Consider the following 21630-nt stretch of genomic DNA (forward strand, 5'->3'; position numbering starts at 1 on the left):
TGAATAATAATGCATAAATAGCTAACGTTCATTGAGCCCTTACTATGTGTCAAGCATCATTCTAAGGACTGTGTTTATGTATTATCATTTAATTCTCACAAAGACCTTAAAAGATAGCTATCACTGGTACCATTTCTCTTTTGTAGATGAGGAAACTGAGGCTCAGAGGTATTAAGAGACTCGTCTCATATGCCACAAATAAGAAGTGGCAGAGATAGTATTTGAACTCAGATCTCTAAGATGCCAGAACTAAACTATACTGTTAAATACCAGCCCCTGTTCTCAGACAGACAGACAGAGAGGATGGCCCAATTCAGTGCTTTGGGGGCATAGAGGAAGGTGATCTTACCTGACCTTGTGTGATTAAGGGGGAGAAGACCAAAGAAGCCTTCCTGGAGGAGGTGATGTCTGGGCTGACTCTGAAATGACCCAACTTCAACACTGTTTACTGAGTGTTCACAGGTGCCAAGCAATCTGCCAGCCCTCTAACATGCCTTATGTCATTAAACCAGGCCACCTTGGGATAGAAGCATCAGCGTCCCCATGTGATCAATGAGGAAAGGGAAGTTAAGGAGAGTGAAGTTCAGAGCAAAGGTCACCACCCCAAGCCTTCCAGCTTGTGAGTGGAAACAGGACTCGAACTCAGGGCACTCTGAGTCTAAAGCAGGCACGGGGCCTCAGCCCACAATGGGTGTGCTCAGAAGTAGGGTGGGAGGATGACAGGATGGGAGTGCCCTGAGGATGTCAGGAAGGGCTGAGGGATGCAGAGGTCACGGATACCTGGATTCCAGTCCCTGCTCTCCCACCAATCCTTTGAAAGACCTTGGGCAGTCATTCGCCTTCCCCATCGGCACCATGGAATGACTGGATGAAGGCCCCTTCAGACCTAGGATTCCATGTTCATGTCCACCTCCAGTGGCCTGGCCCAGTGCAGAGCTGTTTTCTCACCCTGCACCTCACCATGCACCTTCTGGCTGTCCATCCTCCAGAGTCAAGCTCACACACCAAAGCCCACCTCCAAGACCCATTACAATCCATCCCCCAACTTTCCTTTCCCCCTCACTCCCCCAAACCCAAGCTCTTGTCTTACTGAACATGACTGAAAGTTCAGGTGGCCTGCAGGGCCCTGAAGGGCTAAATGGAAGTCAACACTATCACCTCTGTTCTATTCCCTGACTCTCCACCTCTCTCTCCATGAAGCCAGAAAAATGGGAGGCATTCTTGCCTCCTCAGCCTCAGGCCTGACCAGTGACTGTGCATTACGTCCTGCAGATTGTCTCTGAAATGTCTGTTGACCTCCCTCCCCATGAGTCCTCACTGCCACCACCCTAGCCAGGCCACATCTCTTCCCTCAGCTCATTGCAGCACCTTCCCAAAAGGGCTCTCTCCCTCCCACATTGCCCCTCCAGTTCCCTCCCAACAGCCACTATACTATATAAACAGATTTTTTTTTTGCAAAAGTAGTATTTTATTACAGAAGACTATCTAATTTACAAATCAATACAGTAGATATTTCGAAGAAAACATTTAAGCATCATGAAAGAATGCATGAATATAAAAAAAAACTCAATGTGCAAGATTCAACAAGGAAATGCACAGGAAAACTTATTTTTGAATTATGTGGTTGTTACTATGCCACTGAGAAGGCAAAATAGAACTCCTCTTCCAGAGGCCAAAAATGGAAGGAGACCTTCAGAATCTAGCAGAAGCATTTCCACACACTGGCTTCCATAGTCTGGTGTGTGTGCAGAAATGTTGTCTTTAGATTCAGGGAGTGTTTGCTCTTTGGAAGGAAAGGAGTGAAGACATTTCATTTGGCTGCCCTTTGGGGTTTTCTGCTGCTTTTTGGTGGGCTGCTGTTATCGGTTGATTCTCAGGAGCTTCTGAGGCTCATTGGAATCCACAGTCTCTCAAGATGCAGGGTTTGTTTTTGTTTTTCCAATCAATGGTTACATCACTTTTTCTAACAGAATGAACAGCAACCACCTCATAACTATTAGGATGGCTACTATTAAAACACACACACACACACACACACAGAAAAAAATAGTGAATCAGAACCCTTGCCCACTTTTGATGGGAATAGAAAATGGTGCAGCCACTATGGAAAACAGTACAGCCATTCCTCAAAAAATTAAACATAGAATTAAAATATGATCCAGCAATTGCACTTCTAGGTATATGCCCAAAAGAATTGAAAGCACAGACCTGGACATGTAAATCCACGTACATAACAGCATTATTCACAATAACCAAGAGGTAGAAGCAACCCAAGTGCCCAGTGTCCATCAATGGATGAGCAGATAAGCAAAATAGGGTTTATACCTTCAATGGGATATTGTTTGGAAAACGAAGGAAATTGTGATGCATGTTACAATGCAAGAGGAATCTTAAGGGCATTATGTTAGGTGAAATAGGCATGTTATAATATGGCAAACACTAAATGTTTCCACTTATATAAGGTACCTAAGGTAGTCAAACTCATAGAAACAGAAAGTAAGATGCTAGTTGCCAGTGGGTAGGGAGAGGGAGGAATGTGGAGTGATTGTTTAACGTGTACAGTTTCAGTTCGGGAAAATGAAAAGCATTCTGGAGATGGATGGTGGTAATGGTTGCACAATGTGAATGTACTTAAAGACACTGAACTGCACACTTAAAAATGATTAAGATGGTAAGTTTTATGTTATGTGTATTTTGCCATAATTTTTTTTAAACTTTAAATGTATTTTTTAAAAAAGGAATGGACAGTGAAAGATGTGGCTCCAGCCACTACAAAGTTTACAAGAACCACTAGTGAAATAAGTTCCTTCTTTTTTGTATTTTTTAAAATATTTTAACTTTTATTTTAGGTTCAGGGGCACATGTGCCAGTTTGTTATACAGGTAAACTCATGACTTGGGGATTTGGCATACAGATTATTTTGTCACCTGGGTATTAAGCATAGTACCCAACAGGTTTGTTTTTGTTTGTTTGTTTGTTTTTGTTTTTGTTTTTGTTTTTTCAGAAGCTCCCTCTCCTATCTTCCTCCCTCAAGTAGGCCCCAGTGTGTGTTGTTCTCCCTTTTGGTTCATCTGTTCTCATCATTTAGCTCCCACTTATAAGGGCAAACATGTAGTATCTGGTTTTCTGTTCCTGTGTTAGTTTGCTGAGAATAATGGCCTCCATCTCCATCTATGTTCCTGCAAAGGACATGATGTCATTCTTTTTAATGGCTGCATAGTATTCCATGGTGTATATGTACCACATTTTCTTTATCCAGTCTACCATTGATGAGCATTTGCAAACTATACATCTGACAAAGATCTAATATCCAGAATCTACAAGGAACTTAAACAAATGTACAAGCAAAAAAACAGACAACCCCATGAAAAAGTGGGCAAAGGACATAAGCAGATACTTTTCAAAAGAAGACATACATGTGGCCAAAATACATATAAAAACACACTCAGTATTAATCATCATTACAGAAATGCAAATCAAAACCTCAGTGAGATACCATCCCACACCAGTCAGAATGGCTATTATGGATCAATCAACATATAACATTTTGAAACATTCTGGAAATAAGAGTGTAGATAAATCAAGATTAGTCAGGAGTTGACCATTGTTAAAGCCAGACAATGGGACCATGGGGTTTTATTATGCCATTCTCTCTAATATTGTATACGCTTGAAGATTCCCATATTAAAGGGGATTTTTGTAAAAAACAAAAAAAAAAGTTAAAAAATAACATGCTGGCAAGATTGTAAAGAAAAGGGAATGCTTACTCACTGCTGGCGGGAGTGTAAATTAGTTCAACCATTGTAGAAAGCAATGTGGTGATTCCTCAAAGAACCAAAAACAGAACTATCAGTCAACCCAGCAATCCCACTACTGGATATATACCCAAAGGAATATAAACCATTCTACCGTAAAAACACATACAGCTAGGTGCAGTGGCTCTCGCCTGTAATCCCAGCACTTTGGGAGGCCAAGGTGGGTGGATCACCTGAGGTCAGGAGTTCAAGACCAGCCTGGCCAACATGGTGAAACCCCGTCTCTACTAAAAATACAAAAATTAGCTGGGCATGGTGACATGCGCCTGTAGTCCCAGCTACTCGGGAGGCTGGGGCAGGAGAATCACTTGAACGTGGGAGGCAGAGGTTGCAGTGAGCTGAGATCGCACCACTGCACTCCAGCCTGGGTGACAGAGTGAGACTCCATCTCAAAAAAAAAAAAATTAAAAACACATGCATACGTATGTTCATCGCAGCACTATTCACAAGAGCAAAGACATGGAATCAAGTTTCTTCTTCTTGGTCGGAATCTGGAGTTGGGAGGAGGCTGAGGCTGGCCTCGCTGCAAGCATGGTGGATGGAGCTAGTGGGAGGGAGATGTCGATGATCAGATACAATGAGGTGATGAAGGTGCCTCCTGCTCTGACCTTCCCTGACTCCCCAAAGCTTCTTTCAGGTCATATCACTCATTCTTCATGAATACAGACAAACTCACCATTTCACAATTATGCCCTGTGCTCTGCACACGGGTCTGCCCATGTCATTCCTTCTGCATGGAGGTTGCTAGCCCATTGCTTGTTAAGACCCAAAATATCCTTCTCTAGGAGACATCCCTAGTCAAATGTTGCCCCCGACCTCCAGACACTCACAGCTCTCTCAGCACTCACTGACTTCTCTCTGCTCTTATCCTGTCTTGCATCCTTGTTTCATCTCTTCTAGACAAGGAGCTTTCTGAGCATGGACTTTCCATGACAGATTCATCCTGTATCCCCCATGGTGCCTACAACCATTCTCTCTACACAGTAGATATAGCCATTAAGCTCAGGTTTGACTACTTATCACTGAAAACCCAGTATAACTGTAGTTTCAACAAGAAACTACTCTCAAGTAAAAGAAGCAGACATTGGGGATCCAAACTTCTATTGTTTTTCCCATCATATGTAATGTGGCTTCCATTTGCAAATCCTCCTCACTATCCAGAGTGGCTGCTGGCATTCTGGCCATCCTGCCCGGGGCAGGGGGTGCAGGAAGAAGGAGGGTACAAAGAAGGTCAATCATTTGGATCATCTTCTTAAGGCACCTCAAGAAGATGCCTTCGTGAAAACTTCACACAATCTGTTTAGATCTCATTGGGCAGAACTCAGTCACTTGGACACATCTAAAAAGGAGGCTGGGAAATATAATCTTTCAGCTGGGCATTTTGTCATTACAAATAAGACTGAGATTCTGTTGCAAAGAAAGAAAGGATGGACATTAGATGGAAACTAGCAAACTCTCCAACATTTGGTGCTGATGGATAGTGAAGAGCTGACTGTGTAAGTGAACAAATGAATCCTGGAATCATGTGGACCAAGCCTCCTGGCAAAGCTTTGATAAGCAGAAGCTGGACACTAATTACTCCTCCAGGACTGTTTTACCTCTCCTTTTCATTATCTCCATGGAATGTTGAAGTCACAAATATATTTTTGGGGTCATCCACTTCACCCTTACCATTTTCCTTTCTATAAGACAGAAGGAGACATGAAAAATGAAGTCGTTTTGTAGTTCAAATCCTGGAGCCAATAATTACCAGCTTTAGGATCCAGGCATGTTATTTCTCTAAGCTTCAGTTTCTTCATCTGCAAAATGGGAATCACGTTCCACCTCTCAGAAACACTGGGAGAGTTCATTGAAATAACAAAAACAAGGTGCCTGGCGCAGTGCCTAGCATCTAGTAGGCTTCTATCCTGCTGTCCCCATGCCTGCCTCAGTGCCACCATCTCTCATTCTCTTAAAATCTGGAGCTCAGCTGGCTGCCAGGTAGTTTCCACCAAGGGGACTTGCAGTGAAAATTGGACATAGCATATGTGAAACTTCTGGCACAGAACTGGCCCAGAGTAGAGCTTGTGGAAAAGTAGGAGCTCCAGCATTAATGGGTGCTTATTTAAGTATTTCTATCTTAAACCTCAGGAAAAATGCATTTGAGGCCCAAAGAAGTAATCATCAAAATGGTAATGCATTCTCCAGCGTCTATCTGTAACAGAGCCAGAGAAATGCTAGAGAAAGGTCATTTGGTGGTTCACCACAAAGGATCCCATCAAGGTAGTCATTCATTGCAGCTACAGGTGAGATCAATTTGTCCTCTAGGAGATAACCTCCTCCCTCCCCAAACTGCTGCTTTGTTTTAGTTTGTATTGTTTTATTTTATTATTTTATGGAAACCAGCCTTTCTAGGGGCAATGTGATAGTGCCTGAATAAGCTCTTAGAAACTTTCTTGGAAAAACCTTAGAAAAATAGCAATGGCTAACATTTGTTCAAGACTTATGATGTTTCAGGCACCGTGCTAAGCACTTTCAATCTATGATCTCATGCTTTCTTGACCAGACCTTTTGAGATTGTTATCAGTAAATCCATTTCACAGAAAAGGAAACTGAGGCACAGAGAGGTTAGGTCATTTATTCATGGTCACACAGCTAGCAGGCAGAGGAACCAAGACTAGAAGGCAGGTCTCTGTCTCCAGGCTATACCAGACAAAATGCAGAAATGCAGGCATGGGGTTAAGTCTCAGCCCTGCTCGGATGACCTTTGCCCCTTTTGGAGGCTCAGTTTCCTCATCTGAGAAATGGCAGGGGCTTGGGCAGCTGCAAACAGTGTTGCTTCTTCTAGCTCTAGCCATCCATGAACTAAATCTTGGTTTTATTTTTGGATCATTGAGCTAAACAAGGAAACTATTGTCTCCGTTAACAATTCTTATCAGATTTTCCCAGTCTGAAACTTGACTTCCTAGACTGGAAACTGTGTCAAAAATCCCCAGAAGACAACAGCTGTCAGTAGCTCAAGTCACCCGGCAGAACACCTGTGTTCACATCAGAGCCCTGAACACATGGAGCATCAGCAGTGACAGCTGGGTGGGCACTGGAGATTGTGATTGAATGGCACTTGAAATCCATCCTCCTTCTACGTACCCTCCTCTAGTACTGCAATGTGGAGACACTAACTACACTGCCCAGATGCACTTGCAGCTAAGGTTTTGGAAGCAAATCTGATTCCACCAATGAGATGCATTCATGTGAGATTCAGATGGCAGAGGAAGGCACAGGCCATCTTCCTACCTCCATTGCCACTGGAAAGCAAGGCTGTAGAGACACGGATGTCGCCTCAGCTAGGCTCAGTATTCCACGGTCTAGCCACCAGCTTCATGAATGAGGGGAGAAGGTGAGGCATCAGCAGCAGCTTCCTAACCTCTGGACCACAGCTACAATTGCGTGCCCTTTCAATCAATAGACCATTGGTAGCTCCATGACTTCCTCATCCCAATTCTTTCAACCATTTGGAAGGCCTGATGCCCAATATTATTTTTTTGCTTCAAATCCTTTGGATTCTGTTACTACACTTCATCCTGATATCAAAACTAATAATATGAGTATTGGTTCACCTTATCCAGGCTTTGCAGGAGAGTCCAAGTGGAATCTTAGTGGAAACTTCGTTTCCCAAGTAGAAACTTAGTTTCTGACACGTCACCACTACTCTCTTTTGAATCCAGCAACTGCATATTTTTGCGACCAGCAAAGTCTGAGACAGGCCCATTATTTTCCCCTTGAAACAGCCAGGCTGCAGCCTTCCTCCAATGCAGGGAAACACAGTGATGAATAGAACATAATTATTGGTGTTCATTATAAGAGGCAGCCCAAACTAGCCAAAATGTGAGGCAGAAGGAAAGAATGCACCAAACTAAACAGTAGGGTGCTACAAAGGCATGATTTTGGAAAACAGGAACCTTCTCATCTAAAGAGGAGGCAGACATGTACCAAGCTGACTCTAAGATAAAACCCAATGACAAGTTAAAATTTTTTTTACTGCATACCTACTATGATGCCAGAGTCTGGAAGTACCAAATGGAGGAAGATGCCACATGCCATAAGTGCTGAATCTGACCAGGAGAATCAAGGAAAATGTCACAGAAGAGGTAGCATAGGGGCAGACCTCAAATGCTGGGAAGGGTTTTACTTGGAAGAAAATGGGACCTGTATGAGTAGATCATAGTGAGTTCAGCCAGCAGACCAGTGAGGCTATAGCAAGGTGCATATGACAGAGGCAGAGATGGAGATGACAGCAGGGAAGAACCAACCACAAAGGCCTTGACTGCCACACTCATGAGATAGATTTCATTCTATAGTCACATTTCCTTTCTTTATTCACTCAACAAACATCTGTCAAATACATACTGTGCACCAGCCATTGTGCTGTGCATCAGGGATACGGTAGTGATTAAAAGCATCACTGCCCTGACAACATTTTTCTTCCAATAGTGTTTTGATGAAAGAAATGACTCTATGTGACTGGGTTTGGAGGGAAAAGACCAGGGTTAGGGGAATGGTAGGTATCTTTTGTTTTGTTTTCCTAGTAACTCCCTTTCTCCCTTTCTTCTAGGAATTCCCCTCACTCTATCCATGTCCTGAAAAGCTCCTATGTGCCCCCAGTGTCTTGGCCACAACTGCTTGCACTGAGAAAATCACCGGAGTGAGTCAGCTTTAGCACATGGCACTTAAAGAAAGCCAGGAAGCCCCACTTCGGTGCTTAGTCCTATAAGGTGTGAGGCTTTAGGCAAGGCATGTGTGGAGGTGAGATGCAAAGATAGATGCTATGGCAGGAATGGGGATTAGGAGGCAGAGAAAGAAAAATAACATAAGCAAAGAAGACATCCTTATGGAAAGGACTGGAAGCACTTGAAGTCCTGGTACCAGCCATTCCTGAGACCCAGCCACACTCCTGCTCTTGGATTCCAGGAGGCACTGAGTATCCTTCCAGTAAATTCCATTTTCTGCCTATGTCAGGCCAACCTGGGTGTCTGTCCCTTGGAGCCCACAGTGCTCTGTGTAATACAGCCAGTTGGGCAACTCTTGCAAGAATCTGACTGAGAGATGCTAAATCCCTGGCTAGAAGCAGAAGTGGACACAATTATGTGGGGGGTGAAGGGGAGCAAATGCCGAGAGAAAGAAGCAAGGTCACAATCACTACCCTCAAGGACCTGAGACCAAAGATGAAAAACACAACATTAAGAAATCCCATATTTTCACAGTGCTTTGCTGCTTCCAAAGGAGAATGATAAACAGACTCTTACTGCTTCATTTATTCATTCAACAAATACTTAATGTGCTAGGGGGCACTTGCCAGGCACTCTCCAAGGTGCTGGACGTCGTGTGAACAAGACAGACTCCATCTCTGGGCTCATGGAGCTTGCAATGCAGAAGGGAAGAGAGACAATAAACCATTCAATAAATATATGATTAAAAGCTGTGGTAGGAGTGCCATGAGGAAGCACAACAGTGTGCACTGACAGAGAATAACAAGAAGCCTACTTTAGATGGAGAAGCCCTCTGTGAAGACACAATCCATGAACTAAGATAATGAGAAAGAAACAATTGTGTGAAGACTGGGAGCGGGCACTCCAAGGAGAGGAACAGATTGTGCAAAGGTCCTGAGGTAGGAACAAGCTTCCCAATGAGGCCAACAGAATGCCAGTGTGGCTGGAAGGGAGTAAGCAAGGGCAAAAGGGTGGTAGGAGAGGAGCTAAAGAGGTGGCTGAGCAGCCCAAAGAGGGATCTCCTGGACCATGGAAGGAATATGGACTTTCTTCTCAGTACCTACAAGGAAATACTTGATGCTGGGTTACCTCTCCCACTCTCTAGGTGCAGAAACTTGGGCTGATAGATGTGAAGTGACTTGCTCAAGGTTAGCAAATAAATTAACACTATAACTTCTAATGTAATGCAGCAAGTTTGAGGAGGGAGAAAAAAGAGACTTCTCTAGAGAGAAAGCCCAACAGCAGTGAAGGGGATGATAGAGGCACATTTCATGGAGAAGGTGGCATGGAGTGGGGCCATGGGGGAGAGACTCACTGGACTGTGGGATGCTACATGGATTGTTTTTGACTTGCTTCTGAGGACCACTAGACCAGTGTTACTCAAAGTACTGCCTGTGGATAAGCAGCATCAGCATCAACTGGGAACTTTTAAGTAAAGCAAGACTCTCAAGTCCCACCTCAGGCTCAGTGATTCCAGGACCCTGGGGATGGAATCCAGGAACCTGAGCACTAACACACTCTCCAGGTGATTCCCATGCATGTTGTAGAGTGCCTTACGATGGGTCCCCAGCCCTGAGAGTAGCTGACATCTTCCATTTGAACCTCAGTTACTAATATGCACAAACACTCCAGAGTCTACTACTATCTAATTTTGTGGTAATATTTGTAGTTTCCTTATTCACGTTGTCAATAACTTACACACAATGACATGCAATGCTCTTAAGGGTACAGATTGATGAATTTTTCCATTTTCATATACCTGCAAAACCATCACCCAAATTAAGATGTACAATATTTCCCACCCCATAGAACATATTTATGCTCCCTTCCAATCTGTTCTTCTCAAAGGAAACCACTATTCTGAGCACTATCTCCATAGAATACTTTTGCCTGTTCCTAAGCTTCATATAAATGGGATTACACCATAAGCACTCTTTAGTGTCTGGCTTCTGTTCTTCAATATTGCATCTGTGGCATTCTCTGTATTATTGTGTGTAGTGCCTACTTGTTCTTTTCGTATTGCTATGTAGTATTTCATTATGCGAATATATCACAATCTATTTATCTATTCTACCACTGATGGGCATTTGGATTGTTCCCAGTTTGGGACTATCATGAATAAAGTTGCTGGGAATATTTCTGTACTTGTGCCTTTGGAAGATAGATACCCAGGGATGGAGGGAGTTGCTCATGTTCAGCTTTCATAGACACTGCAGATCCTACATTCAATAGCAATGTCTGTGAGTTTGTAATATTTCATTTAATCTACAGAGCTCAGCAAGGACTATGGAAACTATGGGTGGACTCCTGACATGCCCTGTCAACATAGGTAACTTGTTTCTTCTATCTGGGCCTCAGCCTCCTCATCTGTAAAATGGGTGGGAAGGCTGGCCAAATGGTTTAGACATGGAATTCTTTCAAATCTTATGCAAAAGTCCCACATGTGTCAGGGAAAGAAACAAAACAAAATGGGGGGCTTGATTTAAGCTGGAAGGGGGCAAAGAATCCTCCCACCCCCAGCCGCTCCCTCAATATCTGAATTCCTGGGGCTCCTCATAGCCATGTTTGCCCCCCAGGGACCCAGGTTAACTCACAAAGAGTCTCTAATTCATTCTATGCATCTAGGAATCTTCTCAACTTTCTCAAGGGGTTCAGTTTGCCTATCTGACCTCGCCAGCCTCAACCTACAGAGGAGCCCATGCCAGCCCAGGGCAGAAGCTGGGGAGACAGAAGGAATCAAAACAAGGCTGCTGCTACTGCTGCTGCTAAGAAATTCCCTTGGTGGAGTAAGTTTGCATTTGACTGATCCTTTTTCTGTCCCTTACTGAGCTTTAAGCTCTAAAAAAATGCTGGTGGTATCTTAACTAGAAACGGTTGAATGAAATGATGGCATAGTTTATCCCAGGTAATGCAGTGGTGATTTTGAATTTACATAATGTCAAGATGCTATATGTAAACTTTTGAAGAAGAAAAAAATAGTGATTCGAGAAGGGGGGAAAAAGTCATCCACTTATTCCTGTAGCCACTTCCAAGCCACGCTGATAGGAAATAAAATGTGGAAGAAAGAACAAAGGATAAGAGAGTCTACAGAGGAGAAGAAAAGAGGAAGAAGTTTCCACCGGTGTATTAGTCCATTTTCACACCACCAAACAGAACTTCCCTGAGACTGGGTAATTTATAAAGGAAAGAGGTTTAATTGATTCACAGTTCTGCATGGCTGGGGAAGCCTTAGGAAACACAATCGTGGTAGAAGAGGAAGCAGGCACCTTCTTCACAAGGCAGCAGGAGAGAGAAGGAGACATTTCTGTCAGACATTTATAAAACCATCTCATGAGAGTTCACTCACTATCATGAGAACAGCATGAGGGAAGCCACCCCCATGATCAAATCACCTCCCTCCCTCAACATGTGGGGATTACAATTTGAGTTGAGATTTGGGTGGAGACACAGAGCCAAATTTATCAACCAGGCACCATTGTAATCACCCATGTGAAATGCATATAAAGTGTTTGCTGGGGAAGATTCTGAAAGATAAAGTGACTTGACATACATTCTTATTCCTCCTTCCCCTCTCTAATTCTAACACCTCAGCTCCTATGGCCCTGAAGAGTGGCTTGTTTCTTCCTCTCCTGCCTTCACTGGAGCATTCACCAAATGTTTACTGAGCACTAAGTGCCAGGCAATGTGAATCCACCAATGAGCAGAATAGATGACTATGCCAGGGAGCTTATGTTCTCCCATAATGGTGTCCCTCTCCAGTGGTAACCAAAGCAGGCTTTCCTCCTTGTTGCTGTCATTATCTGATGCAGCAGAGCCTTCCACATCATCCCCAGTGATCTCCTTCCCATAGTTTTCCCTTTTCAGCTCTTCCTCTTCCCACACCATGTTCCCAGTTCTTAGGTTCTCAGCATAAATGTGTATTCTAATTCATCTTGTCATAGATCAGGTTCTTGAGATACAAACTCTAAGATAGATGTCTGCATTCAAGTTGTTTACTGGGGGGGGTGCTGTCAGAATTAACAGGTGTCAGGGAGTGAAGGAAGCAAGGTTGGGCAGATGCAGAAATTAAACTGTGATGCAGTTGCAACAGAGCTCTCAGCAAATTCAAAAAAAAAAAAAAAAAAGCTCTAAATTACACAGAGATAACACTGCACAGTTGTCCCAAGTGTTGCCCCAGGGAGGGGGTGCAACCTTGGGTGAGGTGGCTCCCTTCAGCCAGGGACAATTGCTTAGAGGGACTCAACTGTGAATCAACAGCAGTCAGTACTTCCAGCAGCTTCTGCATGGCATGCCATAGCTCCCACTATAATGTCTACATTCTCCAAAGAACCCAGCCCAGTGCCTGGCACCTAGAAGACACTCAGTGGTTTGTGGGTTGTGGGATTGGTTCTCAAATTTGTATGACAACATTTTATTATTTCTTCTTTCTGGTGTAGTTCTCTCTCATGTTGCTTGGTGCAGGTGTTTGTGTGGTCCCCACCATGTGGAAGGCACAGTATGGAACCTGGCAGATGGTTTTAGGTACAAAAAGACAGAATCTCTGCCATCTAAGGTTTCAAAATTTAGTGGGGGAAGGAGAGACAGATTTAGAAAGAGATGTAAGATGTGATGAAATATGATGAGGGCACATAGTAGACCCTATGCAAATATCTGCAAAATTAAATTCAATATTTTTGAGGAGATCAGAAAAGGCTCCATTTCATGCTTTTTTTAACTCACTAGGAAATTAAAAGGAAATGGTGAAGTCCGTACTATGAAGGGGTCGTAAGAGTTGAAGACCATGAAATGACCATATGATCATGTGATCTGTGGGGTCTCAAAAGGATGGAAAAAAAGAGGGGGGCTGAAAAGAAAGTGTCAGAAAGAAATACAATGAGATACACGGTCTTTGGTTTTCTGTGCATTTCCAGGCAATCACATGGCTGCCTGTGGCTTCCAGGCCTGATGTTAATTCCTCCTCCTAGTTCTGGCCCTGCTTGGTCTCCACCCATCTGCCTAGACTATCTGCCTTTGGGATCCATTGTTGGCCACCTTCAGGATGGAGCTGCACCTGCCTCCAGCACAGAGTGACCATCCCCAAAGATGGGTCCTGGAATCCCTAGGGGAAGAAAGACCTTAGATGTTACCCAGTTTGACCCTTGACTTTATCAGAGAAAACTGAGACCCGCAGAGGCAAAGGAAGCTGCTCAAGACAACCCAACCAGGTGAGTGACCGATCTGGGGCCACAGTCCCAGTTTGGTACTTCCTGTGCAGTGAAATTTCCACACCAGTGTCCCCTGCCCCACCCACCACACACTCATGACTTATGCACATTTATTGCACTGTTGGCTTTCTCTTTCCTCTCCAGGACTTTTCCTTATTAGGTTCATATGTGTGAGGTAGAATCTGACACATAAAGGATGAACAGTTACTTTTAAGTGAATTGGGTTTCTTCTTTCCCCATAAATGGCTTTACATGCTTTGAAGCTCAAAAATGATGATCTTATTAAGATGGCTTAGAAGCTCCTCACCTTCTCTGATAATCTGAAATAAAGGAGAAGGAATTCCCAACAATTGGGAGTGCTACACTTGGCATGTCAACTCAAGGGTCCTCACCCCAATTCTATGAGATGGGCAGGAGATGGGCATGAAGAGCCTAATTTTACATGACAAAGCTTTGGCTCAGAGATGTGGAGTGAACTGTGCATAGCAAGCTTAAAGCCAGTCCATGTGATCTCCGAGCCCCGGCTCTCCCACTGTATCTATGAGGATGTGGAATGAAAGTCAGAGTGGCTACTTCCAGTTGAAGTTCTTTTTCTGGACATCATCAGAGGTACTTGCCTCCAGGAGCCAGCCCGGGTGGCTGAGCTGTGACTCAGAAATTAGAGGCTTGTGGTCTAGGAGCAGAGTTCAGCCCTCTGGCAGGCACAGTGCCACGAGCAGGGTTTGTGTTAGAGGTACTCATCCAGCGCAACAAGAGAGGAGATTATTCTAAATCATGTACAGTCTGACGTGACATTATTATTCTTAGACTATAAATCAACAGCCAAAATAAAGAAAATTGTTAGGTCTGGGTGGCATAAAATATGGGCACAGACAAAGAGACTTAGGGGTACAATTTGCTCTAAATCAGTTTAACCACCTTGCAGCTTCTCGCATTACAGTCTTAATCTAGCACATTAGCAAGATTAGTACGTGGTTTTTGCAATTAAATTGCATATTTTATTATGTCTCCTTCTTTCATGCTATATAAACTTCCAGGAAATTACAGACTCATAAACTTTGGCATAAAGCAGGAGGCAGTAGGAAGCGGAAAAACCAGAAAGATGTTTGGGGGCAGCTCTGAATTCCACATTCCATATTTTAATGTGATGTTAAAAAGTCCTCCATTAATACCCCCATTAGGGTAAAGAAATTTCAATGACTAGATGAAAGATGAGCCTCTCAATGCGTATAACTGGGGTCCCTGGGGATTATGGGGCTTTTTTTATTACTAAGAAGGAAAGTTTAAGGTTTTAATATAGATGAGTTGGGGATGGTAAGTTATTGTGCTCTAAGAGCAAGAAAAATGCATTTTCTTCTGAGCTCCTGGCTTCACCATGGCTTCAATATACACGATTTGAGATCAGGACCCATTTTTAGTAAACTAGAGAGTGAAAATCCATTTGATAAGGGCATGTCTGGTGAGCTATTTCCTGTGACTTTGTCTTTGTGATTTGTGAGGAACTCATCCTCCCACATGCAGACCCATGATGCATATATGCACAAACACACACACACACACACACACACCACATGCACATGCACAGATACACAAAAACACACAACCTTTCATAAACAGACCAACTTGCTTCCCTGGAATGTAACTCCATTCCACAACAGATTGGAAGGCTCAAGTTCAAGGCTTCTACTAGGACACATTTACACATTTCATGGGCTCATAGAAGGCTGGACATGGAAGAGATCCTCCAGCTCATCTCCTAGAACCCTCTCCTGTGAAAACCGAAGCAGAGAAGGCTGAGGATTTACCCAACATCTCAAAGCAAAGTACTAGCAGAAGTTCAACTTCTGTTTAGCAGAACTGAAAGTGTTGTCCAGATCCAGGGCTTCTTCAGCCTCCACTGGAGGCGGAGAGTGTGGTACCCAAGACCAGGGGCATCAGACAGACCTGAATCCAGTCCTGACTCCACCTCTTTGACCTCATCTGTACAATAAGAAGCACTGGAGAATCTGTTTCACAGAGTGGTTGTAAAGGGTAACTAAAATTATGCCTGCCACATAGCAAGCCCCTAGTAAATGTCAACTGGTACTATTTCGATATTAACATTAGTCTTCTTGTCTGTGTGCTAGAAGCATGGTGGTGCTAGGAATTTGGTGTTCAGTCATCAAATGTTTACCAGGTGTCTGCTAAAGGACAGCTCTTGTGCTGCCTGTGAGGGAATACAGACATGAGTCAGACTAGGTCACTTCATGCTAAGCATCAGAGTCTGATGGGGGAGATGACCACACAAGCCAGTAAGTGACAGTCTGAGGTAGGTATGCTAACAGAGAGCTCTCACCAACTGCAAGGCTGCAGTGGTTGGTTACAGAGAGAGGAGGTAGAATGGCCATCCCAGCTTGCAGTACATGGAGGTTAGGTATGCAACAGCCAGGGTCCAAGCCTCAGCATTCCCACTGTTTTCAGCTGTGAGACACTCGCCAGGGCCTCCCTGGATCTCAGTCCTAACATCTGTGAGATGGGAGAGAAGGAATCCTGGAGCAGACACTGTGTACATCCCATCTACAGCTCTGACTAGCCGTGGAACTGAGAATGGAGTTCAGGTTCCCAGCAGGGTGCTGGGTTTCCAGGACACCTCAGCAACAAGGGTGGCTTAATTAGGATCTTCGATTGCTGAATTTCTTTGTCCTTTTCCAACAAATGAAGCTCGCATACTTAAATGCCCCCTGTAGATGGAAGACGGGAAGGGGATGGGCTTACAGTCCTCTCGTGGATGATGCCAGAACAATTTCCTCTTTTGTAGATTTATTTTTAACTTATCTGGGCAATCAGACCCTGCAATTCCCTGCCCTATCTCCCTCCATCTCCTTCTCTCCCCAGGCCCTAGTTTGATCAGAAAGGCAGAGCCACACATCTTCTGAATTGCTATGGGGAAAATATCTCATTGACTTGGCTCCCACTGAGATAAAACAAAAGTGCCCCAGAATAAAAAGACAAGGTTGAATGAATGAAGAAGAAGTACTTGTTTAATAACTAAGTGATCAGGTAATAATAACTAAATGAATAAAGGAATGAATGAACAAGAAGGCTAAATCATGGCCCACCCATGATGGTGGCTCTGCCCTCTGTCCCCCCCAATACCCCCCAAAACACACACACATTTTTTTTCTTTGCTCATCCTCTTTCTTATTGATATTAATGTTTGGCATATGTTACACATCGCTGTGAGATACTTTACCTTCTTTCTAGATTAAGGTAAGTCATAGATCAATTAATCAATAATGTCTAGTCCCAGTGTCCAACCCCAGGGCCTAACAAGAGGATGTATATGGAGTTAAATTCATAAAGTGGCCTTGCAAGTAGATACCAGCCAGCCTGAGACCAGGTTTGTCCTAGCTTGGCCCTGGGAGTGGTCTCAGAAAGGACCCACAGCCTATTCCATGCTCCACCTTCAGTACCAGGAACCCTGGGCCTGAGATCTGACCTTGGAAGAAGCAGAAATAGATCTTAGTCCAAGGACAAAGAAGCTGAAAGAGATCCTAGTCCAAGGACAAAGAAGCTGAAATAGATCCTAGTCCAAGGACAAAGAAGTAGAAATAGATCTTAGTCCAAGGACAAAGAAGCTGAAAGAGATCCTAGTCCAAGGACAAAGAAGCTGAAACAGATCCTAGTCCAAGGACAAAGAAGCTGAAAGAGATCCTAGTCCAAGGACAAAGAAGCTGAAACAGCTCCTAGTCCAAGGACAAAGAAGCTGAAACAGATCCTAGTCCAAGGACAAAGAAGCTGAAACAGATCCTAGTCCAAGGACAAAGAAGCTGAAACAGATCCTAGTCCAAGGACAAAGAAGCTGAAAGAGATCCTAGTCCAAGGACAAAGAAGCAGAAAGAGATCTTAGTCCAAGGACAAAGAAGCTGAAACAGATCCTAGTCCAAGGACAAAGAAGCTGAAAGAGATCCTAGTCCAAGGACAAAGAAGCAGAAATAGATCCTAGTCCAAGGACAAAGAAGCTGAAACAGATCCTAGTCCAAGGACAAAGAAACTGAAACAGATCCTAGTCCAAGGACAAAGAAGCAGAAATAGATCTTAGTCCAAGGACAAAGAAGCTGAAACAGATCCTAGTCCAAGGACAAAGAAGCTGAAAGAGATCCTAGTCCAAGGACAAAGAAGCAGAAATAGATCCTAGTCCAAGGACAAAGATGCTGAAAGAGATCCTAGTCCAAGGACAAAGAAGCAGAAATAGATCCTAGTCCAAGGACAAAGAGAGGTGGCAGGAATGAAAATGAGAGACAGCAGAGGGGCCAGGGATAAGGCGGCAGCATGGGACAGAGGAGCCCTGGTGTGGGAACCTAGGGTGTAGGTGTTCGAGGCTGGCCCACAGAGCCGCTCTGTGCCCATGACAAGGTCTATCCCCCTCACTGGGCTGCAGTTTCCTTGTCTAAGAGACCTAGGCCCTATGTCTTCTCTACTCTGCCACTCCGACTCCCAGGGCTCCCCTGGAGAGGGAGAAGGCAGAGGGCAGTGGAACCAATAACAAAACAGCAGCAGAGTCAGGGGAAGCCTTGTCATCAGCGGGACTGCTTTGTCATCTTGTCTCCTAGGTGAGTATTTACAGAGCAGTATGCTTGCCCTCTGGGGGTGGACGGGGATAGAAAGGCCCCAAATGGAGACTAGGGACGCTGTGTGCTCCCAGCTTGCTGTTTGACCCCGGGCAAAGTCCTTCTCACCTCTAAGTCCTAAGTCCTCATTTATAAAATGAAAGCTGCCCAATGATCTCTAATATTCCTTTTTACTAGGAGTCTATGATGAAGACCCTGCCATTAAGAAGTTTTCTTGAGGAGGAAAAAAAAAAACATAAATGCATTCATTCACAAAGCTCTATGCCCCAAAAGATATTGAGGAAATGTTTTAGCAAAATTAAGTGTTCTCAGGCATGGATCCACATTGCAGTCATCTCAGATGCCTTAAAAAATACCGATGGCTGGGTCCACCCATGGCAAGTCTGCTCTCATTGATCTGGGGTGTGGCCTGGGTCTGATTTTTAAAAGCACCCCAGGTGATTCTGATGAGCATCCAAGGTGGCAAATCCCTGTCCTAAGTCCACTACAATTGGGTAATCTTCACTCCCACTCCTGCCTTTGACATCATCCATTCTGGGAAGTTGCCAGTCTCAGAATGTAGCTACCTGTGGTCCAGCCAGTCTGACTATCCTGGAATCCATCCCTGCTGGCCATTTAAGCCATCCTTGGACTGACCAATGCCCAGATGGCCAGAGGCCATGTTGAGTTAAGGCCTCGGTCCTGCAGAAAACTATAAACCAGAGATAAAGAAGCTGATAGAAGTGCTGGACACGGTGGCTTATGCCTGTAATTCCAACATTTGAGAGGCTGAGGTGGGCGGATTACTTGATGTTAGGAGTTCAGGATCAGCCTGGCCAACATGGTGAAACCCCATCTTTACTAAAAATACAAAAATTGGCCAGGCACGGTGGCTCACGTCTGTAATCCCAGCACTTTGGGAGGCTGAGGCAGGCGGATCATGAGGTCAGGCAGGAGATTGAGACCATCCTAGCTAACATGGTGAAACCCAGTCTCTACTAAAAAATACAAAAAATTAGCTGGGCATGGTGGCGGGCGCCTGTAGTCCCAGCTACTCGGGAGGCTAAGGCAGGAGAATGGCGTGAACCCAGTAGGCGGAGCTTGCAGTGAGCCAAGATCATGCCACTGCACTCCAGCCTAGGTGACAGAGTGAGACCCTGTCTCAAAAAGAAAAAAAAGGAAGAGGAAGAGGAAGAAGAAGAAGAAGAAACTGGTGGAAGTAAGTACTCACATCTCCAGCCACACTGATGAGAGCAAAGAGTTCATCTTTGCCTAGCGCTGTTCTAAGCAACTTTCATATAAGTCATTTCTTCCTCATAACAGTCACTATTGGGGGATAGCTGCTATTATCTTTCTCATTTTATTGATAGTGAGACTAAGGCACAGAGAGGTTAAATCATTTGCCCAACGTCACACAGCTGCTAAGTAGCAGAAGCAGGACGCTTCCCAGGCAGTTTGAATTCACCAACATGTTGTGCTGCTTCTCAGAACCCATGCGTATAGGTCTTGACTCCATCTGAACACCAGCCCCAGTGTGCCCTGCCAGCTGTGCTCTGAGAGAAGGAAGCTGCCCTTCAAAAATGGCACAGCAAAAGCAAGGTGCAGGCTTATGCAAGGTGAGACACAAACAGCGGCCAAAACCTCCTTATCCTGGAATCCATCTCTGCTGGCCATTTAATATTCCTGCCACAACAGGCATCTTCTTGGCTAACAGCAGTAAGCTCCCTTTTATTTGAATGATAGTTGGGTGGAATTGCCGCTTTTGCCTTCTAAAAATGCTTAAAAGAAAAGCACATCCACATATCTGGGTGGAAGGGAATTAATCAGCTATTAAGTTTTACCTGGCTACACATTAGTGTCATCTGGGGAGCTGTGAAAATTCCTGATGCCCAGGCAGCACCCCGAACAAATTACATCAGAATCTTCGGGGTGGAAGAGGTATCACTATTTTTTAAAGCTCCCTAGGCAATTCCAACATGGAGCCAAGTTTGAGAACCACTACTCCAGACCCAATTTCTTAGCAGGCAGACCACAATTTGAGACACTGGTGAAAAGTTAAATCACTATTTGGCTATTTGTGCTCAGTGCCCAGATGAAGAAGAAAACCATAAAATCTTCCCGGAAGAAGCAACACTTGATTTGGGCTATGAAGACAAACTAAATCTGGAGAGGCAGAGGCGACCAGGAGGACCTCTCCTAGGCCCTGAAGTCTGCTCCCCTCTTCTGGAACACAGCCTCCCCTTCTAATTTCTTCCTTCCTCTTCCCTGCTTCCCCATGTCCCCCAGGAATAAGCAGAGCACTCCAGACAAATGTGATATTGAATGAAGAACATATGTCCTGCGTGCATTTAAAGAGCATTTCTCTTCCTCCTCACCAGTCTCATCAGGAAATAAGTTCCCTCCGCTTTCACATTTTGGGGACGAGCAGATGGCAAAAGTTTTGATTCAGGAATAATGTCCATTTGAATGGCCCACGCTCAGGGGCCCCTGACTGTAATCAAAGGACCATCACAGACATGCAATCTGGACTATTTAAAAGTCCTTATTGCATCCAAAACTGAAATTTTTTCCTATCCCCACCCCCAGCCCAGCTTCTCCTGCGTCCCCATCTCAGTAAATGAATCCCCCATCAGCCCAGCCAGAAAGTTGGGCAGCAGCCCTCACTCTCCCCACTCACCCTGTGTATTCTTCCTCCCACGTGTGTTTTTTTTTTCCATAGCTTTAGGGGTATAAGTGGTTCTTGGTTCCATGGATAAATTGTACAATGTTGAAATCCGGGCTTTTAGTATACCTGTCACCCAAAGAGTGTACATTGTACCCAAGAGGTGATTTTTTTATCCCTTGCCCACCTCGTATCCTCCCCTATTCTGAGTGTCCAATGTCCATTATACCATTCTGTATGCCTTTGCATGCCCATAGCTTAGCTCCCACTTAGAAGTGAGAACATCACATGTGTCTTGACTCATCCTCTTCTATCCAGCCCCTACCATGGCCACAGTGGATGGAGCTCAGGCCTCCCCATGTATCCCAGGGATTATACCCTGGCCTCCTCACAGCCCTCCTTTCCTACTGGTCCCTCTTCCACCAGCACCTGTTGCACATTGTGGCCTCAGAACTTTCTATTAATAGAAGGCACAAATGACCAAGACATGGCCCTGCTTAACAACCTCTGATGGCTTCATGCTGCCATAGCCATGCTTCCAGCTGCATCACTTCACATTTTCACATTGAAAATGGCAGCATTTGTCCAGCACACTGGAGAAAACAGTTGAGCTCC

The 21630-nt window shown here is 44.4% G+C and overlaps 1 non-coding gene across 1 annotated transcript; it reads right to left on the reverse strand.

The window, feature by feature from the left end:
* Window positions 1-1696: 1696 nt before the first annotated feature.
* Window positions 1697-1768, reverse strand: MIR147A (microRNA 147a). The gene has a single exon (NR_029604.1). It is a non-coding gene; the product is annotated as a microRNA 147a (primary transcript).
* Between the last annotated feature and the right edge of the window lie 19862 nt (window positions 1769-21630).

This window comes from Homo sapiens, chromosome 9 (assembly GCF_000001405.40).
Source record: "Homo sapiens chromosome 9, GRCh38.p14 Primary Assembly".
Taxonomy (NCBI): domain Eukaryota; kingdom Metazoa; phylum Chordata; class Mammalia; order Primates; family Hominidae; genus Homo; species Homo sapiens.